At 42.8% G+C, this 27,171-nt stretch overlaps 1 protein-coding gene across 16 annotated transcripts in view, besides 2 other annotated features; it reads left to right on the top strand.

Annotated features, from left to right (window-relative positions):
- The window catches only part of CHD6 (chromodomain helicase DNA binding protein 6), a 216,295-nt gene that overhangs the window by 182,923 nt on the left and 6,201 nt on the right, over positions 1-27,171 (top strand). For 13 of the 16 annotated variants that reach the window (NM_032221.5, XM_047440549.1, XM_047440545.1 and 10 more), the window contains 9 exons: positions 9,302-9,362; positions 10,061-10,277; positions 11,755-11,963; positions 13,376-14,947; positions 18,106-18,257; positions 18,661-18,867; positions 19,817-20,269; positions 21,940-22,131; positions 23,192-23,311. In NM_032221.5, coding sequence (NP_115597.3) covers positions 9,302-9,362; positions 10,061-10,277; positions 11,755-11,963; positions 13,376-14,947; positions 18,106-18,257; positions 18,661-18,867; positions 19,817-20,269; positions 21,940-22,131; positions 23,192-23,311 — 3,183 coding nt within the window. Of the gene's footprint in view, positions 1-9,301; positions 9,363-10,060; positions 10,278-11,754; positions 11,964-13,375; positions 14,948-18,105; positions 18,258-18,660; positions 18,868-19,816; positions 20,270-20,473; positions 20,849-21,939; positions 22,132-23,191; positions 23,312-27,171 lie in introns of those variants that run through there. The other 3 variants (XM_005260576.5, XM_017028104.2, XM_047440551.1) reach the window with 3 other exon arrangements.
- Positions 2,683-2,732: an enhancer, noted in NCBI's record as "active region_17895". NCBI's record gives its function as "activates an Ori minimal core promoter by ATAC-STARR-seq in GM12878 lymphoblastoid cells {active_cell/tissue: GM12878}" and the evidence as "EXISTENCE:reporter gene assay evidence [ECO:0000049][PMID:35858748]".
- Positions 10,227-10,468: a silencer, noted in NCBI's record as "fragment chr20:40053627-40053868 (GRCh37/hg19 assembly coordinates)". NCBI's record gives its function as "represses an EF-1alpha promoter that drives an FKBP-Casp9 reporter gene in an ReSE screen in HepG2 liver carcinoma cells {active_cell/tissue: HepG2}" and the evidence as "EXISTENCE:reporter gene assay evidence [ECO:0000049][PMID:32094911]".

Raw genomic sequence — 27,171 nt, 5'->3', positions numbered from 1 at the left:
TTTTTTCTATTTTTCTGTTTTTTTGTAGAGACAGGGTCTTGCTGTTGCCCAGGCTAGTATTGAACTCCTGAGTTCAAGCAATCCTCCCTCCCCGGCCTCCCAAAGAGCTGGAATTACAGGCATGAGCCATTGTGCCCAGCCCTTTTCTAGGTTTTTGAGGTGGGAGTTTCTTTGTTATTGATTTGAAACTTTTCTGTTTGTCTAATATATGCATTTAGTGCTGTAAATTTCCCTCGGCATTGCTTTAGTTATGTTTCATTAATTTTGTGTTGTATTTTCACTTTCATTCAGTTTAATGTATTTTTTTTTAATTTCCCTTGAGACTTTCCATGAATTATTTAGGTGTTTATTATTTAGTGTCCAAGTGTTTGGAGATTTCCCCATTACCTTGCTGTTATTGATCTCTAGTTTGATTCTGTTATAATCAGAGAACACATTCTATATGATTTCAGTTGTTTTAAATTTGTTAAGTTTGTTTTATGGCCCAGTGTATGGTATATCTTGGTATATGTTCCATGGGCACTTGGAAAGAACATGCTTTTGGTTTTATTGGATGCAGTATTTCATAAATGTTGACTAGGTCCTGTTGGTCAATGATGTTGTTGAGTTTTTCTGTATCCTTGCTGATTATCTGTCTAGTCGTTTCATCAGTTGTTGAGAGAAGAATATTGAAGCCTCCAACTATAATTGTGGATTTATTTATGTCTCCTTTCAGCTCTATCAGTTTTTGCTTCATATATTTTGCAGCTCTGGTTGGTGCATACACATTTAGAATTATATGTTCTTGCCAGGCGCGGTGACTCATGCCTGTAGTCCCAGCACTTTGGGAGGCCAAAGAAGGCAGATCACTGGAGGCCAGGGGTTTGAGACCAGCCTGACCAACATGGTGAAACCCCATCTCTACGAAAAATACAAAATTAGCCAGGCGTGGTGGTGCATGCCTGTAATCCCAGCTACTCAGGAGGCTGAGGCATGAGAACCACTTGAACCCGGGAGGCAGAGGTTGCAGCGAGCCATGATCACGCCACTGCACTCCAGCCTGGGCAGCAGAGCGAGATTCTGTCTCAAAAAAATGTATAGAGAGAATTACATGTTCTTGGCAGATTGACCCTGTTATCACTATATAATGTCTTTCTCTTGACTCTGATAATTTTCTTTGCTCTGAAGGGTACTTTATCTGATAAATTAATATGGCTACTTTCCCTTGATTAATGTTTGCATAAATATAACTTTTTTATTATTTTACTTTTAACCTGCCTTTATTGTATTTGAAGTGAGTTTCCTATAGATAGCATACAGGTAGATCATAATCTTTAATACGCTCTGCCGGTCTCTGTCTTCTAGTTGATATTATTCAGACCATTTACACTTAATGTAATTATTGATACATTAAAGCTTAAGCCTGTCATTTTATTGTCTTCTCTTTGTTTTCCCTGATTTTTTATTTTTCCTGCCTTCCTCTGGTTTACATGAGTATTTTGTATGATTTTATTCTGATTTATCTTTATTTTTGTAGCTTTTTAATGCTTCTAGGTGTTTCATATATTTATATGTAATGTATCACCGTCTACTAATGCTATCATTTTATCAGCTTAAGTGAAGTGTGGAAACCTTACTTCCATTTTTGTTCCTTTACCCTCTTCCATTTATAATATAGTTGTCTTAACCATTTCTTATCAGGTAATGTTAAAATTTTTGCCTCAACTGTCAAACATCACTTAGAAAACTCAAGAGGAGAAGGAAAATATGCTATATTTACCCATATTTTTTTTACTGTGTTCTTTTTCTTCCTGGTGTTCCAAGGTTCCTTCTTTTATTGTTTTCTTTCTTTTTAGAGAAATCTCTTTAGCTCTTCTTTTAAGGTAGTCTAGAGAACTGTCAGACGGTTCTCTTAGTTTTTCTTCATCTGAGAATGTCTTAATATCCCCTTTGTTCCCAAAGGATATTTTCACCAAATGGAGGATTCTGGGTTGATAGTTTTTTTCTTTCAGCTCTTAAGGTACTGCCGCTTGCTTCTGGCCTCCATGGTTTCTGATGAGAAATCTGTCATTCAAGCAGTTTTTCCCCTATTGGTAATGTGTCTTTTCTCTCTTGATGCTTTCAAGATTTTTTCTTTGTCTTTAGTTTTCAGAAGTTTATGATTTTATGTGCTTACGGATTTCTGTGAGTTTACCCTATTTGGAATTCACTCGTCTTCTTAAATCTGATTTCTGTCTTTTGCTAAATGTGAAGCATTCTCAGCCATGATTTCTTCAAGTATTTCTTCTGCCCTGTCCTCTTTCTCCTCGCCTTCTGGGAAACCAATAAAATGAAAATTAGATCTTGTGTTATAGACCTGTGGGTCTCTAAGGCTCTGTCCATTTTTTTTTTTTTTCTGTTATTCACATTGGGTACTTTCCATTTTTCTGTCTTTGAGGTCACTGATTATTTTCCTCCACCATTCTGCTGTTGAGTCTTCTCCTGAGGGTTTTGGGTTTTCATTTTTGGTTTTGGTTTTTGTTCCAGTTTATTGTACTTTTCAAACCTAAAATTTCCCTTTGAATCCAAATATTATTTGGATCTTTGTTTCTTTGCTGAAACTTTCTGTTTCATTTCATTTCACTGTTTCATTCTGAACAGTGGGCCATGTTCAGAATGGCTCACTGATGACTGTTAAATTCTTATGTCAGATCATTCTAAGATCTTTCCTCTCAGCATTGGCCACTTTTGTCTTTTTTTCATTCAGTTTGAGGTCTTCTTGGTTCTTGGTATGTGATCTTTTATTGGAACCTGGACATTTTGGACATTGTATTGTGAGACTCTGGATCTTATTTAAACGTTCTCTTTCAGCACCTTTCTTGGCAGGGGAACAGAGGTCGGGGGGGGCACCTTGTTTCTGTGAGGTGGAAGCAAAAATTCATGTTCCCAGTCTGCTCCCATTAACCCCTAAAGGGGATGTTTCTCATTACTTTGAGCAGGAATGGAAGTTTAGCTCCACCATGGGTAGGGGTGGGGAACCTCATTACTACTTGTCAGGGTTGAAAGTCCTGACTTCCTGCTTAGCTTTTTCTGATACCAGCCCAGCAAGGGAATGGGGTACCCTATTACCACCTGGAAAAAGTAGAAGTCTGAGCTCCCACTCAGCCGTTGTTGCCATGGGTAGAGTTGAGACAGTTTCTTCTGCATTGTTGGGCTGGGGTATAGCAGTTATTGTCTTAATATTTTCTGTGTCCCTAACCTGCTAACCTACCTCTTCCTAGTCCTTAACTAGAGAGAGCAGGAAGCCACCTCGCTTCTTTTTTTTTTTTTTTTTTTGAGACGGAGTTTTACTCTTGCTGCCCAGGTTGGAGTGCAATGGCATGATCTTGGCTCCCTGCAATCTCCACCTCCCAGCTTCAAGTGATTCTCCTGCCTCAGCCTCCCAAGTAGCTGGGACTACAGGCATATGCCACCATGCCCAGCTAATATTTTGTATTTTTAGTAGAGACAGAGTTTCACCATGTTGGCCAGGCTGGTCTCGAACTCCTGACCTCAGGTGATCCACCCGCCTTGGCCTCCAAAAGTGCTGGGATTACAGGCGTGAGCCACCGCGCCCGGAAGGTTTTTTTTGAGGGCCTTTTTTGTCTGCCTCTGCCATTTCCGGGTAGCCCGCTTCTTTACCTCCAAATCTAGGATATATGAAGCAAAAAAAAAAAAAAAGCATGTTTTTTCATCATGTCATTCCTTGAGTCCTGAGGTCTCTAGTTTGTCCTTTCTTTTTTTCACCTTTCAGAGTTTTCTTATGCTTGTTTCATATTTACTATCCAGAGGGTTTAATTATACTTAAAGAATAGGGAAATGCATCCCAGAAGCGGCAGTCTGTATTGCATTTTTAAAATGAGTTTCTGAGATTTTGCATAAGTAGACTGAAACCCTACCTGGGCCCCAGCACCATATGACCAAATTTTCTCTAGCATTGAGTAATAGAGAGAATGTTATGGATTCTGGATCCCAGAAGTTACTGTAGCATTGTCCCCAAGTGACTCCCCTGCGAGGGTCCTCCCTCTTCTTCTCCTGATCACTACCCAAAAATTATCCATTATTTTCCATTCTCTTCTGTTGATTCTAGCTTGCAGAATGTATGGTATTTATTTACTTTGGCCTCCATCAGCTCTGACCCCTGTAACAGTAACAATGGCTTCATCCCTTTCTTAAAATAGATAATAATAATTTTTCAAAGATGCATTTCCCTGTGTCCTCAAGGTTTGAGAAGCAGTGGATTGAAGCAAATCAGCATGAAGCCTCAGACCCCGGTAACATGAAGGAAGTTAGGTTCTCATCTTGACAATTCAAATCCATGTTCTGGGCCAGGCGCAGTGGCTCATGCCTGTAATCCCAGCCTTTGGGAGGCTGAGGCGGGTGGATCACGAGGTCAGAAGTTCGAGACCAGCCTGGTCAACATGGTGAAACCCTGTCTCTACTAAAAATATAAAAAATTAGCCAGGTGTGGTGGCATGCGCCTGTACTCCCAGCTACTCAGGAGGCTGAGGCAGAGGTTGCAGTGAGCCAAGATCGAGCCACCACACTCCAGCCTGGGCGACAGAGCTAGACTTCATCTCAAAAAAAAAAAAAAAAAAAAAAATTCATGTTCTGCTGTTCCAGTCCTTAGTTTATATTATTGCTTTTGTCTGGAATTTGGGATGCGTTTTCCCTGTAGAAACAACTCAAGTACCAAAGAAATGAACATAATACCTTATTCTCATATGGAACTTGACTCTTTTCAAACCAGTTACTCCATTTATTTAAGTTGATCCTCACCTCACCCTGTCTTCATTTGAGGGCTGAGGAAACTTTAGGCCCTCCCTGAAAGTTAAAGGACTTGACCAAATTCTCACAACCACTAGATCACAGAGCTAAGACTTGTAATTCTCTAGATATTCCGGTATTCTTTGTTGTAGTCAAGTATTCTTTTCGTAGTCCAGACAATAGAGAGTAATTCAGGTGTGGGTTTATGCCCCTTCCTCCCAGCAGTAGCTCATATGAAGAGGCCAGCCTCTGAAAGCCACTGACATTAAACTGGACATGCTTAGCTAATCAATTAGGAGGACACTGGAGGGCCATGGCAGAATCAATAAAAATAACTTAAGCGCTCTTATATATTAGAGTTAAACTCTGGAATTACTTTTGTATTCATTTACAAAATTAACACATTTATGATTTGCTCTTCATATCCTTAAAACCTGGGGTATAGAATATCATTAAAAGCAGTTGAAATGGGGAGTGGATTTCCCCAGATTCTGAGGTGGACAGATTATAAACGGATTCACCTTTACTTCTAGTCTGCATGCTAAAACCACACACACATAGAGGGATGGCCGGCATCTGAGCCAGGCCTGCTGCCCACCCTGCTTCACGCTTGCTCCCTACCTCCTGCACTGAAGACACTGTTTGGGTGTTTCTTTCTCCCAGCTCTGTCCTCAGGCAGAGTTAAAGAAGCCCAAAGCATTGTATAAAAAGAGCCTGTTCATTAGAGCAGTTCCCCTGAATTCAACAGACCTAGGCATAGAAAGGCAACCGTTTAGTAGATTGGTAGAGTCTTAGCATTGCAAGGAGCCCTGGCACAAGCCTGAGTGGTCTCAGTGTGGCGTTCCCTCTTTAGCGGGGCTGTCAGGGGGGAGTTCATGGGGAAAACAAGAGGAACATGCCACCTTCCAAAGAAGTCTATTTTATTGTTGGATGATACTTCTTTTTACCACACCAGAAATCTGCCTCCCAGCTGGTTCCATGGGTTCCATCTAGCTTTCTTTATGGTACTACAAAGAACAAAACTGTTGTTTTTCCCCTCTCTGATAGAATTTTAAATTGCTGAGACCAGCTCATGACCTTAATTTCTTTAAATTTCTTTTCAGGTGAAATACCTCTAGTTCCTCTATATTTTTCCATATCATATCATATCCAGACCCTTTGCTATTCCAGCGCCTTCCAGAGCACACTATGGTTGTTGTCCTCTTAAAATGTGGCGTTCAGAGAGTCATAGAATGTTAGAATTTGAAGGGAGATTTGAAATGATCTAAGTTACAGCTTCCCCCACCCTCTGTTTTAATACCAGTAGCACTTTTGATTGGCAAATCATTACAGATGTCACGTGCAGCCAGATTCAGTGAACCTACAGAAACCTTCTAAAGCAGTTAGTCTGAAAGTATATTTGGGTTGGAATGGTCTGGAGCCTGAAATTGTAAACAAAATCTTTCTCTATCACAGCCAGTATGTGGGGAGAGTAACACATCTTTTAACAGAAATAGCAATAAGTAACAGCACAATTTTCATCATTGTAGTTATGCTGTCAAAAGCATGCATGTCCGTGCTGTGCCACAGTTCCTACCGTAGGTGGCTGTGACATCTCAGGTGCTCTCTAAACCATGAGGTCAGTACATAAAAGGATGAAGTCATGGCCAAGAACTTGCAGGAAAATTTAATGCCTAAAATGGCCAAATTCCATTGTTCCAAAAGTTTAATTAGGAACTGAACAAGCACCTTCTTCTTGTGAGTTAGGAGTTTGAGGGTTCTGTGAACTCAAATACTAGTATTTGTGTATACTTTCACACTTACAAAGCATATTTCCCCATCTGTTAGGCATTATTCTTATGCCCATTGTAGAGACGAGGGAGCTCAGTTTTAATCAGCTGCAAAAAAGCCATACAGCCAGGGGACACAAGAGTGCTATCTCCCCTGCCCTCTTCTTTTTCTACATTCTGCAGTCTTTCCATAATAAAATCCTTGAATATTGTGTTAATGGCATTTGAGGTATATCTGCTTTCCACCTGAAGTTTATGCCATTCTCCATTTTGCAAAAGAAGAAATGAGCTTGAGAGAGATCAAAACAACTTGCCCGAGACCAGAGAGCAGTGGATCATGGGACTCCAAACCACGTGTGTCCTCAAGATGGAGAAATTGCACATTGTAACCAATCAGTTTGCTGTGTTGTTGACATTCTTGTCAGCACTCTGGGGCCCTTCTCTGTGAGATGATTCATACCTCTTTGAAGATGAACATTTCTTTCAAGTTAATCATGTAAGCAGAAATTGAGGTAGCACACATTAGACTACATAGTTCAGATGCAGGGCCTCTGCATGCTCAGGACTGTCACTGCTACAGCACCTCACACACACTCACATTAAACGGATTATTAACTAAAAGTCTGACATCTTTTTCACTTGAGCTACTAACAAACTAGGTCTTCTTCATTCTGTCATTTCTAGAGAGAGGAAGTACCTTCAAGAGAGGACAGGAACAGAAAAACACTATGAATGCTCAAAGCTTTCCTTACTTGAAAGTTTTGCCTAAAACTATTCATGTTTACTAACTGTACCAACAGAAACTACTAGGTGGACTGGAAGGGAAGCTAGCATTTGCTGTATGCCTGCCTCACACCAAGCTGGGAGCCTGTTGTCATGGACTTGGGGTATGATGATGCCCATGTCAGCCACCACTACATGGCACGAAGGAACATGGTAGCTCTGGGGCCTGCCACCTGTGTTGTGTAGACTGTAGAGCATTTCTCAGCTGGAAGTACTACACTTATACATTTCAGCATTCAAAGGATCTTCACAGATACTGTGGGGATATTTAAAAAGTCCTCTCTGGCAGGAAATTATATAAGGCATAGTAGGTTGTTTTTTTAACTGCCTAAATAGTAGTATAAGATAAAATGGTATATTTAACTGCCACTTCAAAATGGTACAGTAGATCAGCCCTGGGTTTTCACTCTTCATTAACATTAGATAACAGGAGACAATTCTGGCCCAGGCAAAGGAGGTTAGCTAGTGTTCCCCACTTCTGTTATAAATATGTTTTCACTCTCCAAGACAAATTTTCATCTAAGACTCTCTTGTCCTTTTTTAGACAGCTTGTTAGTTGAAAGTGTTGGCTCTCAAATCAGATTACCTGTATTTGAATCCCAGCTCTGCCACTTGCCAGCTGTGTGACCTTGGGCAAGTTACTGAACATTTCTAGGGCTTGTTTTCTGCATCTGTAAAATGAGCATAGTAATGGTTTCTATCTCATGAGACAGTGCTGATAACTAAGTGAGATGAGCCATGTAAAAGGTTTTGTGCAATGCTTAACACGTAGTTCTCCGTAATATTAGCTGTTAACGCTGTTCTGCGTAAGAGAGAAATTCATTCAGAAAATGGGCTCCTGTTCTTTGCGTCGTATCAGGGGCCCAAAAGAGCATTTTGAATTTTCACTGTTGGCAGTCATGGGTGTCTCCTTTCCTACCATACTAGATTACTGGTCTACCATGTTGTGTATTCCAGGAAGTAGCAAGTAAAGGACCAGATAGTAAATACCCTGGGCTAGAAGGCCATATATGGCTTCTGTTGCATATTCTTCCTCCCTTTTTTTCACCCTTTAAAAACGTAAGAACCATTCTTAGCTTGAGGGCCACACAGAAAGTCTGCAGGCCGCAGTTTGCTGACCCTTCTTTCTGACCCTGTGCTCTAAAATAGCAAAGTCTTGAATCCTGAGGTTGTTCTGTACTGTCATTCAGGTCAAAAGATGCTAGTCAAAATATAGTAAGTTTTAGTGTTGAAATTAGAGTCCAGTTGAAAAATAGCACAGTCACTTCTGTTACCCCTCAGATTCCCACCTGAATTACATATGAGGAGTTTTTAAAGTTCCATTCCTGAGACCAAGAAGGATTTGCGAAGGAATTCATTAAAGCTGGTTTGACACATACACCGACTTGGGCAAGCTCAGTGCTTGTGATATTACTCCAGATTCACTTAGAGCTCAAGTCATGATTTTAATTTTAAATTCCTGGGGTTTTGCGCCATCAGGTTTCATGTCTGGAGCAGTAGTGTTTTATGAAAATAGTGTCTGTTGCTGTGAAGTAAGCTAACCATAATGAACATGAGCATGACACTTTTTCACAGCAAAAGAACAGAAATGCAGGCACAACCTTTGTGAAATGAAATGACAGTATTAAATTGCAAGTGACGATGGTAAGGCAAATATTTAAATTCACAACTAAAATAGTACTTGTAAAATGTAATTGCCAGAGAGAGCGTGCCAGTTCATCATTGCTCAAGCCGATTCTCTACAGGCAGAAGCATTCCACATGGTTCCAGGAAAAGAAAAAAAAAACTTATTTTAAATAAACTGCTTTCTGGCTCTTTTAAGATTGTACAGAAGTAAGCTTTATCAGGTCCTATCTTGGTCTGAGTTGTTCATGGGCAGGGGACAGCTCTTATGCGTGATGCTTACTCTTTCCGTTTCAAGACTTTCTGAGCTGGTTTCTTCTAAGCTGCAGTTTTGCTGATGGGATGGCTTTATTTATCCCTAGGAGAGTTCCAGTGATGGAGGTGATGGCGTTTTTAGCGAAAAGAAGGATGACAGCCGGGCAGGTGAGACTATGTCCTTCTGAAGGCATAGGAAAGTAAGGTCTTAGTTTGTTAGTTATCGTGGAGTTTATATGTAATTAATAAGTAGTTTTTTAAGGAGGCTCTTTTAAAAAGCCAAGTAAGTTGACCATCATCAAACTCCCCTAGAGTCACACATGGAGCTTCAGCATGGCTCTGGCTTCCTCTACCTGGCATTAAAATTTGAAAGTGAAGTAAATGTTAATATCTTCAGTTAGAATAAGGTCTGAGAGGTAAAAAGGAATTGTGATGACATCGGGTTTTTTTTGTTTTTTTTGTTTTTTTTTTTAAAGAAAGGTTGTGGGGGTTGGTTTAGTTTGGTTTGGTTTTTGAATTTTCTGAATTCAGACGTGAGAGGAGCTTTGGTAATTGGAAGGTGCAGGCAACAAAGGATCTGCTCATTCCTGTGCTTTAGAGCAAAGTCCTCACATAACTTCTGCCACCACAAAAAGACACTTCTGTGTTTGAGAGATAACAGAATTAATTGACCACAACATAAGCTGTATCCAAGGCAAAATTGCAGCCCTTCCAGTCATGCCTTGCTCCTGGGCCAATTATTAAAACAGTAACTACTTTGAGTAAATTATTGAGTCAGCTTTGTTTTTATTTAAACAAAACCAAAAGACAGTCACTCCTGTTTTAGTTCTGTTTGTAAATACTAATATCCTCACTGATGTTTGAAGCCCAGGATGGCTCCGACCCAGACAAATCGCCCTGGCCAGTTTCCTCCGCCCTCACAGCTCGTCTCAGACGTCTGGTCACTGTTTACCAGCGCTGCAACCGCAAGGAACTGTGCCGGCCTGAAATTCTGGGACCAGGTAACCAAGGATATTGGGTTCAGGAAGAGATGTTCAGGAGAACCTCAGAAATGGACCTCATCAACAAGGAAGCCCAAAAGAGGTAAAAGCCAGTGGCCAAAGGGGCATGCTCAGCCACCCACTGGGTAAAGTTTTCAAAAGGTAAAGCCGGTAGCTTGGAGGGCGAGTATATTTCTGTTCTCATGTGAAGTTAGGTTGTCTCCAGAATTCATTACATTCAGCCTTCAGTTGTGATGGTATCATGGTGATGGGAGTCTGATGAGGTCTAGGAACACCCTGTCTTTACAGTTTCCAGATTTTTATGATTTTCTAACTTGACACTCTTCCTAAGTTAAACCCCAGTCTCTGGGGATGTGGTTTAGAAACACCACAATGGAATGTGTCAGACCATTTCAGACCCCCTAATTATTTTAGTAACAAAGGGAACAGTATGCACTGAAGCTGTCTTATTATAGCTAAATCCTTATCAAGCCTTCCAGGGCAATAAATACCGTAAAATACAAGCCCAGAAGGAAAGAATAAATTACCAGCAGTGACTTGCCCATCTGAGAATTAAGCCCTAAAAGGCTTACAGAAGGCCAGCATAGGCTAGAAATGATGCCACCAGAAGGTATCAACAAAGCTGCAATTCCTTGAGTCATATCTCTCTTTCTGATGAAACACCCCATGAATTAAAAGAAGACTGCATAACAAATTTAATTACTTCTCTGTACTCCTGACTTATGAAATTCGATAGTTCAAGGAATATATGTCTTCCTTCTTGCACATCTCTAAAGAGAAGAACCAGAGCCACTTCTTCCCTGCTTCTCACTCTTTCTCTAACCCCTCACCCTGTTACCCCCATGCCTAGCTAGACTCCCTCTGGATTGGAGAGCACCCTGCCCAGGAGCCCCTCATAATGGCTATGGTGGTATATAATTATCCACCTCCCTTAAGTCATTGACTTACTCGTATAGGATATAAAGACTAGAGGACCTTTGTGTCCCAGAGAAGATAATTGTCATGGACAACCTACCTACATAAAACCACAAAGAAAAGCAATATGAGATGGGGAGGCAGGGGTTGTGTCACTGAAGTAGTCACTTCCCTTCGGGACACCAGTAAGATAAGGAGGTTGAATTTAATGGTCTGGAACATCCCTTCAGGATTCTCTGCTTCTATATTGCCATACGGGTAAAAAAAAATAAGGCTAGATATTTAAGCATATATAGTATTTTAAAAATCTTCATCATCTACAGGCAGAAGTTAACTAGGTGATTCCTAAAATTGATGAATCAAGAGATAGCAAGTGTATACCTGGTTTAGAAATAGGGAGGTAAATACCAGAAGAAAGAGCTGAAAGATTTGGAAGTGATTACCTCTTTGGGAGTTGGATAATAGGCTGTTTTCATTATAAGCCCTTCAGCCCAGTTTAACTTAAATAAAAATAATAAAAGAGACAAACCAGCTCTGCCTCCTTTCTTGACTTTATGGGCTCTCATAGTAGGCTCTCAATAAGCAGTTATTGGCTTTAAAAAAAGAAGAAAGAGCTCACTCTTCCTTTCTGATTAAATCTCAAGGTGGACTAGGAGAGAACAAGCAGACTTCTATAGAACAGTGTCTTCCTTTGGTGTTGTTTACGATCAAGAAAAGAAAACCTTTGACTGGACACAGTTCCGCATCATTTCCCGTTTGGACAAGAAGTCGGATGAGAGCCTGGAACAGTATTTTTATAGTTTTGTGGCCATGTGCCGGAATGTCTGTCGTCTACCCACATGGAAAGATGGCGGTGAGAAAACTATCAGTATATTGTCAGATGATACAAGGAAAGAACATTCTGATTTTCAAATTGCAGAATTACTTTAGGTATACCTATAAAAACTAGAGTCTACATGAGGAATTTAGGTAAAGATGAGTGGCTTTTAGAAATTCATGAACTTCTAATTGGGTCCACCTCATAAAATAAAATCTCTCTCCCAAAATGATGTAACTTCAGTGAAAGTTGAAATTCAGCTTAAAACATCACAGAAATATTGGAAGACTGCCAACCACTTTCTCCAAAGTATAAGGGTTTTTTTAAAGTCATGGTTTTTTTTAAGTCATGTTCAGATTTATCCTACTCTGAACTTTGCACCTTCCTTAGATTAAGTCTTAATAACTTTAAGTATTTCCTCACATGTCGACTTGTAACTATAGAAAGTAAGTGGCTGTCATTTAAATATCCCCTGATGCAATAGAGAACCCTTTTGAAAAATGTCTTCATGGTTGGCACTTGCAACAGCTTCCTTCAGGCCTCCCTGTAGCCTCGTATTTGTAGATGGAGTTCCTCTGGATCATGGGACAATATTTTAGGAAAGCCAAAGCAACCATTGAGCCTACTCAGTGTGGGTTCAGGGCTGATGGCAGCACGCACAAGACATACCAGCCTTTGCCTCCTATATGGCAGGGCTAAAGTGTTGTCATCCAAGCCAGGGAGCTGAATATATTGGAAAGATGGTGGACCTTGGAGTCACACTGACAAAACCTGGATTTAAATCCTGGTTCTGTCACGTGGAGCAAGGTAGTTTATCTGAGCCAATTTCCTTATCCTTGAAATAGGACAGGCATGATGATGGTATGGTAGGATTTTCATGAGAACTAAGAGATGTGTATAAAGTACCTAGTGTAGAGTACAGTGACATGATCACAGCTCACTGTAACCTCAAACTCCTGGGTTCCCAGATCCTCTTGTCTCAGCCTTCCAAGCAGCCAGACTATAGGTACATGCTACCATGCCCAGATAATTTTTTTTATTTTTTGTAGACATGGGGGGTGGGGTCTCACTTTGTTGCCCGGGCTGGTCTTGAACTCCTGGCCTCAAGTGATCCTCCTAGCCTCTGCCTCTCAAAGTGCTGGGATTACAGGTGTGAACTACTACTATACTATGCCTGGCCTAGTACATGCTTATTTAAAGGAAACTAATACTGTTTTCAGAACTGGAATTTTTATGCTCTTCTTTCACACCCTTTGGGTCTGTCCTTGTTTCATAAAAGCCTTCCATTCTTTTTCAGTTTCCTATTTTGGCAAGGGCTCACACACCTGAAACTGCCATGCTGAGGAGCCAGGGAGCTAAACTCCAAGACCAAAGATGCAGGGGCTCAGGTGGGCGGGGAGTGTCTGAGGTCACCTTCAGTGATAGGCTTTATTTCCCTTTCTCTCCAGGTCCCCCAGATACCACCATCTACGTTGAACCCATCACTGAGGAACGTGCTGCAAGAACTCTGTACCGCATTGAACTGTTACGGAAAGTCCGAGAGCAAGTGCTCAAGTGCCCTCAGCTGCATGAACGCCTCCAGCTGTGCAGGCCCAGCCTCTACCTCCCAGTCTGGTGGGAGTGTGGGAAGCATGATCGAGACCTGCTCATCGGCACTGCCAAACATGGGCTGAACCGCACTGACTGTTACATCATGAACGACCCCCAGCTGTCCTTCCTGGATGCCTATAGAAACTATGCCCAGCATAAAAGATCTGGCACCCAGGCACCAGGAAATCTCTGTTGCCTTTACCAGACCAACTCCAAGTTATATGAATCTCTTACATATTCTCAAATGAGTAGGACTTCAGAGTCCCTTGAAAATGAACCTGAAAATCTAGTGAGAGTAGAAAGCAGAGATGATCATCTCAGCCTGCCTGATGTGACATGTGAAAACTTTATTTCTAAAGTTCAGGATGTCATTTCCATCAACCATGATGAAAGTCTGCTGCCTGAGTCCTTAGAGAGCATGATGTATGGTAAGAAGGTGCTCAGCCAAGAACCAAGCTCTTTTCAGGAGAGCCCAAGTACCAATACTGAATCTAGAAAAGATGTTATTACCATCTCAATAAGCAAAGATGGGAACTGCCAGTCTGGTGGCCCTGAGGCAGAAATAGCTTCTGGCCCTACTTTTATGGGTAGCTTAGAAGCAGGAGGAGTAGCTCAAGCAAACATCAAAAATGGAAAACATTTGTTGATGTCTATTTCAAAGGAAGGGGAGCTCTGCTGCAGTGAGGCAGGACAGAGACCTGAAAACATTGGCCAGCTGGAAGCCAAGTGTTTAGCTTCCCCTTCCTTGAATCCAGGAAATGAAAGTGGGTTTGTAGATATGTGCAGTCTTAGTGTCTGTGACTCCAAAAGAAACCTGTCATCAGATCAGCAATTAATTGATTTATTGGAAAACAAAAGCTTAGAAAGTAAATTGATTTTGAGTCAGAACCACAGTGATGAGGAGGAAGAAGAGGAGGAAAACGAGGAGGAAAACTTAGCCATGGCAGTAGGCATGGGGGAAAGGCCAGAGGTATTGCATCTCACGGAGCCCACTACTAACATCTCAAGGGAAAAGAACCAAGGCTTCCAAGATGAAACCAAGAAAGGAAGCTTAGAGGTGGCAAACCAGACTCCTGGGCTACAGAGGGCTTTCCCCGCTCCAGCAGCCTGTCAGTGCCACTGCAAACACATGGAGAGGTGGATGCATGGCCTCGAGAATGATGAATTTGAAATCGAGAAACCCAAGGCTTATATCCCAGATCTGTTCAAAAGTAAAACCAATACTATCGCCATGGAGGGTGAACCCACTGCTATTCCATCACAGCCGTTTAAAGTGAAGCATGAGCTTTTAAAAGAACCTTGGAAAGAAAGTGCAGAGGGGCAAAACGTTTTCCCCACATATCCTCTTGAAGGAAGTGAGCTCAAATCAGAAGACATGGATTTTGAGAATAAAGATGATTATGATAGAGACGGAAACTGCCATAGTCAAGGTACAGTATGTAGGATCTTGTGGCATTTTGGATAAACTAGTTCACACACGACGGGGGGTTGGGTTTTAGGGGAGAGAGTGCTTCATATTTTTACAGCTTCTGAAACAGACCTGCCTACCCTCACCAAAGGTCATAGGCCTTGGACTGAAAATTCGAGTAGCTTAGTAACTGTGGTCATGTTGTAGAAAATTGAAGATCATAGACAATCATAGCAGTTTGGCTGCCTCACTCATATAATTTGGGCAGGGGCTTGTGTGTTTTCATTCAATAGATGCTATGTATGGTGTTAAGGGGAAATAGTTTGTTCTTCCCCTAGATAAGGTGCTTCAAACTGGCTAAAGTAGAACAGCCTTGGGATGTTAGGAACTTGCACTTTAATATAGGGGCAGTTAATTTTTCAGGAACTGAACAAAAATACAAATAAATTTGATCTTTGTTAAGGTGAGCAAAAAAGCCATTTATTCATGTCATTGTCAAAACTGTGTGGCTTAAGGTCAGTGCATTTGATTTAGATTCCTTTCAGTAACTCAACAGAAATAAAAAGTTTACAACAATGAAGAAAATAGATCTGATCCTATAGGGAAATCTTATATAAGGGTTTAAGCTAGAAGGAATTTCAAAATGTTAAGAATCTAGGTGACCCTGAGATTCTATGGGCTTTGCAAGAATAGACATACAGTGATCAGGGATCCTGAGGAACAACAGCAACAAAATGATTGTTAGCTGTAGTTTTAATTTTTTTCAGATCCAAGAAGGCCTATTAGGGTGAACAAAAAACCAAAAACAACTCCTTTCATGCCTGGTCCACTGTGGTGCTGAGGGGTGTAGACAGACACATTGTCCCTTTCTGGAGCACTGATTTTATGTTAAAGAGGGAAAGAGAGGAGCTAAGCTAAGTCCCTCAAGTTATCTAGCCTTTTTTTTTTTTTTTTTTTTTTTTTTTTTTTTTTTTTGAGACAGAGTCTTGCTCTGTCACCCAGGCTGGAGTGCAGTGGCGCAATCTCAGCTCACTGCAACCTGTGCCTCCTGGGTTCAACATCCCAAGCTGGGATTACAGGTGTGTGCCACCACGTCTGACTGATTTTTGTATTTTTAGTACAGAGTTTCACCATGTTGGCCAGGCTGGTCTTGAACTTCTGGCTTCAAGCAATCCACTTGCCTCAGCCTCCCAAAGTGCTGGGATTACAGACGTGAGCCACTGCACCCAGCCTCAGGTTATCTAGCTTTTTATTTTTAAACTCCTCGTCTTGGTTTTAGTTATTCAGAACTCTTGGGAAGAGTCTGAACCCAAATTAAAATTTACATACTAGCTAAGATAAAAACCGAGAAGCCAAATTGAAAGTAGCTTGATAGAGTTGTAACCCCAGCCAACCCAGAAGGAGCCAGTCTACAACTATGCCTGATCCTCCTCATGGCAGGCCACGAAGCATTGCTGCCATGTGTTGAATTATAAAACCCACATTGCTTTTTGAACCCTGTTGCGGGTAAAAATAACCAAATTATCAGTCCTTGGAAACCCAGGCAATCAAGTGAGTACAAGGTAAAGATAAGTATGGTTTAGAGGAGAAATTATGTTCCTGAACTGGTGTCCTTTGATGGCAGCGTCAGCCTTGCTAAGTCAGAGTAGAGGGAGCAGTGACCTTAATAAGCTTTGGTGAGCATCATGTGCACGCGTGGGTGGGAGTCCCTTTCACTGATGCTTTTAAAAGTGCTTTTGCAGACCCTGGAAGGGATCCTCCACACATATGAGGTGTGGGACAGGTAGGCCAGAGAGGATTAGCCCTGCTTTCGAGACTAGAAATCTACAGTCCTGAAGGAGCAGTAATTAATTGGTACACCTGTCAGGGCCAGCCCCCAGGTCTCCTGGCTTTTTCCAGGTTTTCTGTCTCACATGATTTTGCTTTTAAAAAAAAAAAACTTAAATTCAACTCCTCTGCTTAAAACCTTTCAGTGGTGGTCCCCCATTGAATCTAGAATAAAATCTAAATTTTCTATTCTGGCCTAGAGGACTCAGCATGTTCTAGATGATTTCCACCCCTCTAGCCTCATCTTTGTGCTTTCCTCCTGGCCCTCACTTCGTTCCTCAGCATGTCCACAATACCCTTCCCTGTTGCCTCCTCATCTTCATGGGAGCTCCCTCCTCCGAGAGACTCTCTAACAACCTACTTGAGTAGGTTCTTCCCTCTTGTTCCCTATCATGGCGTCTTGTTTCTTTCCCTTGATAGTACTTATCACAGCTGATAATTTTAGTTGCTCCTTTATTGTCACCTCTTTCCTGGCTGTCTTCCCTCATAGGGCTGTAAGAATCTTGAGGACCTGGGCGGTATCTGTCTGGCTTATCCTGAGTCTACCAGGCCTAGCAAGGCCCTGTTTTTCATGGTCAGGTCGCTGCAGCTCCCTAGGAGACTTGTTGCACATTGAGAAGTGAAATAGCCACATTTCAAAGGATGGATGCTCCTTGTCATTTAACCAAGAAAGAGGTCAACAACTTTTCCTGCCTTAGGTGTTTTTCCATTGTCTGTTCATTTCCTGTAAGTGGATCTTTGAAGATCCATTCACGTTGACACATTGATGATAAACTTTCACCATTACTGAAGCTTGAAAGAATAAGTTACATGTCCATTTCTTTCCATGAGTGAAGTAATTGAAATGTTCTGAGTTTCTTGGCATCTTTTTTTACATGAATCAGGTCTGTCTTACCTTTGTTGTAAGCTTCATGACTTTCATCCTTTCTCATATTAATCACCGTCTTGCCGTGTTACATTTCATAGACTGTCCCTTCAAAGATCTCAAAGTGTTAGAATGTTCAGCTTTCCCTTGACCACTACACTAAGTGAGAAGCCTCTTTGTGGTTAGTCATCTCTTTCACTCTTGGATACACAAGAAAAATTTCCTTTCTCTTTTCTTGTGTTGGGATATGGATGCAAATGCTCACTAGAAGACTTGCCTTGGGAGCCCCAGAGCAGGATTTGCTTTTATGGCTTAACTGATACGGTTCTCCTGGAAATAGAAGATATCATAATTAATATTCCATTTAAAATAGCACAGAATGAGCTAATTTAAAAAGCAAAAGGAAAAGAGGATATCCTAATCTCTCAGATCACTAGTATCTCACTACTATAGTTAAGTGCCTGATTAATTTTTTAACCTCTTCCCAGATTATCCAGGGAAGTACTCTGAAGAGGAGAGCAAGAGCTCAACATCGGGCATCACAGGAGACATTGGGGATGAGCTACAGGAGGCTCGAGCTCCCACTATTGCTCAGCTGCTACAGGAGAAAACTCTCTATTCCTTCTCTGAGTGGCCAAAGGTACCCCAGAGCTTGCGTTTCCCACCCTACCCCCAAACCATTCCCAGCTTTGAATTGCTTTTTTTAACCCTTTTAGAAATAGTTCTGAACAAGAAACTCAGAAATGTTTAATACCTTTAAAAGATATTAGTTATGTAGCATTTGAACATTAAAGATACATGCGCTTAACTAATTCGACTGTAAGATGAAGGTGTCAAATTGTCCTCTTATTTATAGTACGATGGCTTTAATTTGTATTGTCCAGACTATGATTTTTATTTTAAGCCTTATAAAGTGAGTATGTTTGAGTGTGCTCTTTTCTTATCGACTCCTTCTGGTGAAAAGCTTAACCCTTGATCTCAAAGGATTTTGTGAATTTAGGTAACTCGATCCTTATTCATCAGAGCTTTATCCTTTTTTCTAGGACCGCGTGATAATTAACCGCCTAGATAATATCTGCCACGTGGTGTTAAAGGGGAAGTGGCCCTCTAGCCAGCAGTATGAGCCCTCAGGCACACTGCCCACCCCGGTATTAACCAGCAGTGCTGGTTCTCGAACCAGCCTCTCAGAGCCGGAAGCAGCAGAACACAGCTTCAGCAACGGCGCAGCATTGGCGGCCCAGATCCACAAGGTGAGCCGGCAAGAATGGAGTGACCACAAAACAAAGAATGGTGGGCGTGTTCCACGTCTCTGTTGAGTTCATTCATTCAGCAAGTATTTACTGAGTGGATAGGGGTTTTTTTTTGCCAAGCCATTAGTGTTGATTGGGGAATTTAGACTTTATCCTGTATGTAGTGAAGAGCTAGTAAAAGTATTGGAGCAGGAGAAGGCATGATGAAAGCAGAGGTTTGCAGCTCACTTGGAGTAGAATACAGCTTGGCTAGGGGGGCCAAGCAGGAAACTGATAAAGAGAGGTTCTAGACCCCGGTTGTTTCAGAGTGGATACAAAGATAGGGGGGAACTGGCAAAGATGACCCCATGACTAATAAATATATAAGGAAAGGGAAGCATGAATGGAACAGTGTGGTTGACCCTTAGAGAACTGAGCTCTAACAATGGAAGCTGATAGAAATTAGGGAAATCAAGGCAGGAGTGAGCGTTTTGGTGGGGGTGATGAGTTTTGAGATACATTATTAACTAGCTGGTTCTCATGCTCAACTGCACATTGGAATCAGCTGGGGACCGTGACAAGCTAACGATGCTGACTTATTCAGTCTGGAGTGTGTCCTGGGTACTGAGTTGTTTTAAACTTCCCAGGTGATTCTGATGCACAGGTGAGGTTGAGCATTTCTGAGTTATCATCTTGCAACACCAAATGTAGTTCACGGACTAGCATAGCAGCTTTAGCAGCACCTGGAAACCTGTTAAAAAAGCAGATTCTCAGGCTCTACCTCAGACCCACTGAAGTAGAATCTGCATTTTAACAAGCTGTTCAGGTTTGAGGAGGCCTGAGTTAGAAGAACTCCTAAAAAGATGATTGGAAACAATATGAGGCCTAGGGAAATCAGGCCTGGAGAAAGAGCTAGCATTCAGCCACTTGTGTGACATTCAGACCTCTCTTGCTGTTTGTGTGTTCACAGGAGAGCTTCTTAGCTCCAGTATTCACAAAGGATGAACAAAAGCACAGGCGTCCCTATGAGTTTGAGGTGGAGAGGGATGCAAAGGCTCGGGGCCTGGAGCAGTTCTCTGCCACCCACGGGCACACCCCTATCATCCTCAATGGCTGGCATGGGGAGTCAGCTATGGACCTCTCCTGCTCATCAGAGGGGTCCCCAGGAGCCACATCCCCTTTCCCAGTGAGCGCCAGCACCCCTAAGATTGGGGCTATCAGTTCACTTCAGGGAGCCCTTGGCATGGACTTGTCTGGGATTCTGCAAGCTGGCCTGATCCATCCTGTGACTGGACAGATTGTCAATGGAAGCCTCAGAAGAGATGATGCAGCCACGAGGAGGCGGAGAGGGAGGCGGAAACATGTTGAAGGAGGGATGGACCTCATCTTTTTGAAGGAGCAGACACTTCAGGCGGGAATCTTGGTGGGTATTGAGGTCATTAGATTAAAAACATTTACCTTTCTACACTGAGAAACAAACCCTTCTTCCTCAGACGCAAAATAATTTGTGGATCTTTTATCTCTATTTCGGTTGTCCTGCTTTATTTTCTCTCATTATAAGATGCCCTCCATCTTCTGTAGAACTAGATAGTTACTAACTCATTAATGGCGCTTAATCTGCTTACAGCCTGGAGAAATGAGCCAGGAGGTCTTGCCATTTCAAATAGGAACAACCCCGCTCCTCCAGGGTTTCAGAAGAGCCACTGTTGACGGCACGGCAGAGCAAGATGGCAGGGTTGAGTGTGCAGCGGCTTTTCTCCGGGGTAGTGAGGCTCTCCAAGACTGGGGTATGGGAGAAAGAACAGGAGTCAGGGCTACCTGAATGTGATCCTGGCTCTTCTGCTTGACTTACTGGGTGATATTGGGCTACAACTGAGACTCACTTTGCTCCTGTGTAAAGTGGGGCAACAGCATCTACCACGGAGGGTTGAAGATTTACGGAGATCATGCTAAGACAGTTTGTTCCAAACTCAAAGGAAATCATTTGCAAACAACAGAAAAGGTCAGAAACCGTATACCTGGCCAAGAGAGATCCCTTTTACGCTTTGTTTAATGTTTCATGTTGTATTTTGGGTTTTCCCATTTACTGGATTCTGAGCTCCAAAACAGGAATCACATTTTATGTTTTCTTATTTTAAAAGCAATAATAATAACTAGTACTTATTGAGTGCCTACTGCTTACCATGTTCAAGGCTTTACATGATTATCTTGTTTGTTCCTCACAACCACTCTGAAGATGGGCTTTGTTATTCCCATTTTATAGGTGAGGAAAATAAGGCTTTAAAGCATTAAATAATTTCCCCAAGATTATCCAGCTAGTAAGTGACAAAGCAGGAAACCAAACCAAGGACCTTTTTCTCTAGGGGCTGAGAACTTTACTGCTAAGCCATATTGCTTGGGTTATGTCTTCCTCTTAGACTTTCAAAGTAATCTGGGAAGCTGAAGTGACACGTTCTTTCCCTGCTCAATCCTGCAAGCTTTTAAGAAGTCTTTTACCTTTTTTAGATGTGCAACACCATAGTTTCTCTATAATGATCATAGAATTCCAATGGAATGACCGATAAAAATTTTCCCCCTTGTCCTCAGAGTATTTTTTTAATTTATTGATGCAAACACTTATTTAGCATGGTCATTGTTATAGACCCCATTATAGGCATTAGTAAAACAGAGGTAAGACAGGCATTCAAACTATAGAGGGTGAGTAAATTGTGGTATGGCGTTTTCTTTATGTGAGAGAGCTAGGAACCGAGTGCTGTGGGGACAGGAGCTGGAGCAGTGAGTGCTGCCTGGGACAGTGGGCAGTGGTGACAGAGGAGGAAAACTGAATCCGGCAGTCAGGATGGAGTTAAAGTGTACCAAGTGGACAAGAGCGGGAGAGGAGTGCTCAGGTGAAGGGAACACCAAATCACTTGCAAGAGCTTATGTGGGCGTGGGTCAGTGGTGTGTGTAGGGTTCTAATTCAGGCACCCCAGCTGAGTAATATCAGGGTGGAAATAGGTGGAGTGATTCAAATAACACCTTACATGTTTTCTTTCTTTAGAAACTAATTTTCATTGTGTCGTGATTATACATACTCGTTTTTCCTTCATCCAGGAAGTCCATGAAGACCCAGGGCAGGCCACCTTGAGCACCACACACCCTGAGGGGCCAGGGCCTGCCACCTCGGCTCCTGAGCCAGCTACGGCAGCCAGCAGCCAAGCCGAGAAATCCATTCCCAGCAAGAGTCTGCTTGACTGGCTAAGGCAGCAGGCTGACTACTCCTTAGAAGTTCCTGGCTTTGGGGCAGTAAGTGTTTGTTGGTACTGCCTGAGATCACTGTTTACTTCCTGCTGACTTGTTGCTATTTTTGATGAAAGCATGCTGAGGGCAACCAGGAAGTTGGGAGCTGTTTGGGAGAAATCTGTCAGCTGACAACATCATGTTAAAGGACTTTTGTTTTTAAGTTTAAATTTTGATTAAATTCTTCAGTAATAGAAATGATAGCCCATCTCAAAATACTATGCCAAAAAGTAGACATGCAAAATCCTAAGAGGACAGAACTTATCCGCTGTCCCCACAAAAATTGCCACACAGTATCATAAGCTCATAGAGAAATCTTTAGGTTGCATAAACTCTGCCACCTATGAAAATGTTCCTTTGAATTCTTTTCAAGTTAATACGTTCCATTTGTGGTGGTTGGGGGACCATCTGTCCTTAGTTTTATGTACATTCCATTTGCGGTGGTTGGGGGACGGTCTGTCCTTAGTTTTATGGTTATTCTGCTTTAGGACATTCCCTTCAAGTCATCGTACTGTCTTTGTCCTAAGTCCCTCAGACTAGACATTTTTAGGAGAGGACTCGAGCACAGATGTCTTTTTTGGTTTTTCTCTTCTCACTTGCTCATCTACCCCACCACTGTCTTTGTCCTGGGTGCGCCTAACTAATAAGATATGTAGGTAGAGAGCGCACAGGAAGAGGAGAACACATTCACAGATGTGCACCCTCCAGAGACAGGCGAAACCAGCCAGGCAAGTAGCAGTGACAAGAGAATGCAAGGAAATGATCAAGAGGAAAAGGCCAGGGATTAACAGGGCCCTGGCAGCCTGGTGAATCGGCTCAGGTGTTCTAGTCTGGAGGGCGGGGGTGCCCACACAGCCTGTTTTCCAGATTACTGTAGGAACACTGGTGCTTCAGGAGAGAAAGCCTAGGTGAAGCCAGGTGGCTATTTCCTTTAGTTTAACCTGGCCAGCTCCTGTGCAGACAACCATTGACGAGAACAATAGCAAAACCAGTTGAAAAGCATCAGCCTCATCAGAAGAATCTGGGATAGCATGTTTTGTAATATTGGTCTCCGTTTTCATCCTAGAATTTTTCAGACAAACCAAAGCAGAGGAGGCCACGCTGTAAAGAACCTGGAAAATTAGATGTCAGCTCCCTGAGCGGGGAAGAGAGAGTTCCTGCCATCCCCAAGGAGCCAGGACTGAGGGTAAGGAAGAAGGCCACGTGAGTGTGGGGCCAGGAGGAGCATCCTGGTTGAGCCGTGCCTTACATACTTGAGAGAAAGCCCCAGCTGGGAAGGGGTTCGCTGGGAGACATCTTTCAAGAGGACTAGAAGCCAGCACAGGAAGTTGATTAGCAGCAAGAAATGGTGCTGTGGCATTTTTGAGCGCTCTGTGACTCCCAGTGGTCATTTGTTTTCAACCCTTACCTCCAGAATTGTTTGTTAAACCATTGCCAAAACTTGGGTTTGTGTTTTGTTTCTCCTATTTGTAGAGTTATGAGGGGAAAGAAATTTTAACCTTTGTCAGTGAACAAAACTCATTATTGGAAGTTTTCATTTCCTAATTTAGGTTTTTTTGGCTACCATTTAAGACATTTCTTCCTGGTCCAGCCTCACTGGCAATGAAAAACAGCTGCCTCTAAGCACTACCCTTTTCCTATTATAGCATCATGACACTGGAAGGGACTTCAAAGACTTCTGCAGAATACTTCTAGTATAACGAATCCGAGTTAATTATAGTTTACAGATTAGTACAAATTTGGACTACAAAAGTCATAACCTCTAGAGGGCAGTAACAACATTTCAACTTGAAAATGTGTTGAGTTTGGGCAGATTATACATAAATGTGCTTTTAGCCTCCTAAAAGCACTTTCTGCCCAAATAGGGAGCTCCTGAAGATGCTCATGGGGACTTTTGCCTTTCCCAGGTTGTTCCATAAACTCAAGCTTTCCTGAATGCCTTCTCTTAAGTACTCTGCCAGCTACATCTTTCCTGGAGTAGGAATTCCCTTCTCGGTGGGATTGCTTGAATGTGATTTCTTTTTATAGCTCCAAAAGACCGCCCACCCTAGTCATTTCCTCCTCTCGCAGAAAGAGTTTGGCATTTAATGTTCTCAGGGAACTTGTTCAAGAGTGTCACCTGGATGACCGCTGGTCTAGTAGCTCCACCAGTGGCCGTTGCTCATCTCCATCTGCTACCACAGCCCCTTTGGGGGAGACTTGGGCCCTAGACAGTTTGTCACGTTGGAGAAGCTGCCCTTTTTTCCCCTCTTGCTTTAGTCTCAGAAAATGTCCCTTCTACCCTTTTCTTAGGACTCTTCCCTCACTTTCTTCCACTTGCGTGAGCAGTACGAGCTAGTTCACCTTTGTTTGTGTCCCCTCTGTCTTTCCTCACCCCTTCACGCTGCCTCCCACCTTCTCCTTTTGTCTCGGCACACGGTGTCTCAGATACGCCATCAAGGGAAGATCTCCGGTTCTTGCTTTGTTGTAGTCTCTGAGCTCTTGCTTTAGAGATGTCTCAGGAAGAGCCATGTGGTTCCCCCTTGGCTTGCTTGTTTCTTTCCCCGTGTCTAACAGTTTCCCTCATGTTCCTTGGAAATTAGTGTTCATCCCTCCCTACAGATGCTGACCCTTTGCCAGAAAACCCATTTCTAAGCTGTTCTTGCAAGCCAGCCTCTTCCCAGAGATGTGTTAGCCTCTTTTATTAAATAAACACACTCCCTGCCTCGGAGGCCCTTTTCCTGCAGTAAGGCAAGAAGAAGACCTCGGGCAGCTCAGCCTTCCGAACAGGGGCACCCGTGTATCTCCTGCAGCTCCTCTTGGGACAGGGCCTTCTAGGGTGCACTGTACCCTTTTTCTTTGCCATAGAACCTTAGTCCATTCCGACTACCATAACAGAATACTGGGAGGCTTATAAGCAACAGAAATTTATTTCTCACAGTTCTGGAGACCCAAATGTCCAAGGTCAAGGCACTGACAGATTGGGTATCTGGTGAGGCCCCATACCACATCATCCAGACTGGTGTCTTCTCACTGTGCCCTCGCATGGAGGAAGGGACAGCCAGCTCTCATAAGGTCACTAATTCCATTCATAAGGGCTCGACCCCTATGACCTAATCACCGTCCTAAACCCCCCGCATCCTATTACCATCACCTTGGGGCACAGGATATCAGCATAGTAATTTGAAACATTTATAGCGGAAACCCTACCCCTCTTTTTAGAAATAGATTTAAATCTCACAAGGAACTCCTCCTCCCTTCCTTCGAGCTCACATGGCCCTTCTGCCACACGTGCTGTGGTTTGGACGGGTGGTGTCCACAGAATTATCATTGCGCGGGCTGCATGGAAGGTTGTGGGATTCAATTTTTAATGCCCACTACCTAGTGGTTACTCATTAAATATATGTATACACACACATATACTTAATATAGTTTATATATGTAAGTTACATATGTATATATTGGTTTTACCTGTATGTGTATAGTTTTGAGGTTTTGCTGGGCCATTTGACAGTAAATTGCAGACATGACATATCACCCCTAAATACTTCAGCATGCATCTCATAAAGAACATTTTCCTGCATAATTATTGCCCTTATTACACATGCATATTAATAATACTTGTTATCTAGTCTATATTCAGATTCCACCAGTTATCTCAAAAATGTCTTTTAGAGCTGGTTGTTGTGTTTTGGTTTGGTTTTAGGATTTTTAAATGAAGAGCCACACGTCGCATTTTGTCGTTAGGTCTCTTTTCACCCAGCGTGCGTTTGTTGGATGAATGTACTAACCTTCGGAGGAGAAAGGAAGTTCTGGTCACCACCTTCTCTTAAGTCCACCCAGAGTTAAGTTTTAGAGTTGGAATAATGCCACCATGCATTGATGAGGATGTTCTTCTTAGGCTGGAATGCCTGTGCAATTAGATAGAAAGCAGATTTGCCTCCAGTGTGCTTGAACATAAGGAAGCTCCTTTTCCTTGTTCCCTTTGCCCCCTCCGCAGGCCTTTCCTGGAAGGGGAAGCAGGTTTGCTCCCAGGGTATAATTACCAGGAGGGAGAGCTGCCAAAGCCCGCCTGGCCGCTGTGTGTGGTCGCCGCGCTGCTGGGAGGGGCACCTGACTGGAGTGGGCAGCAGCTGGTGGCTGGGGTGACTCCTCCACAGGACATGGTTAAAGCTGACTTCCTTTGCCAGCGCTCTTGCTCTGCTGCAAATGAAGAGCGTTCTCTTTATCCTCGGGGCATTTCTGCTGCTATTCTCCTCATCTAGAGGGGAAGAAAGATTAGCTTGTGCCTTCTAAGCAAGTTCTCATTTCTGAAAGGACCCACCATTGTGTCTGCACTCATGGTTCTCAGCAAGAGCAGGGAAAGGATGCTTTTGACATCCCAGATCCTGAGAGTGCTACTTGCACTTACTGGGCCAGGGCCAAGGTGGCCAAAGGTCCTCTGGGGCATAGTCTGGTCCTAGATCCCCTGAGGAGGGTCTCAAAGCATGTTAAAGAAGATCTGATTTATAGCAGATTGCTTGAAAAGAAGAAGGAGGCACCATTCATCAAGTGCTGGGCTTGTTTTCTTCCTAACAGAAAGACCTCTGAGGTGGAATATGCCCCCTCTCTCTGGAGTTATGAGGGCACATTTGTGGATGTAAAGGAAAGACACTCCCCAGTATCTTTCTCTGCCTCTCGGTTGTGGGTAGGCTGCAGGAAGAGGGCTCAGAAAGATATGTGGTCAAGTTGTGGTTACCCTGGCTGAAGCACCCTGGGCTGTGGTGCCATGCCAGCAAGGGACTGAGACTGTGCTGTGTAGACAGAGTGGCTGGCCCAGAATGAGACGATTTGCATTGATGAGCTCAAGACAGACTGGTGAGAAATTATCCTTTTAGCCTGGCCCCGACCCATCAAGTCCTACTGTCTCTCTTTCAAAACAGGAACCAGCCAGGAATTGCGTCCCCAGTGATCCTCCCTAGAGCCAGAGTGTGCAGTTGCCAGCCTAGCAAATTGCAAGTGGCAGGTCATGCTGGGAAGAAGAGAGGGTGTGGTGTGCTGTGGAAAGAGGCCTGGGCTGGGAACCAC

The sequence above is a fragment of the Homo sapiens genome, chromosome 20 (assembly GCF_000001405.40).
Source record: "Homo sapiens chromosome 20, GRCh38.p14 Primary Assembly".
NCBI classification, from domain to species: Eukaryota; Metazoa; Chordata; class Mammalia; order Primates; family Hominidae; genus Homo; species Homo sapiens.
Note: the sequence above shows the minus strand (reverse complement) of the source record. Positions and strands in the feature narration are given on the sequence as shown.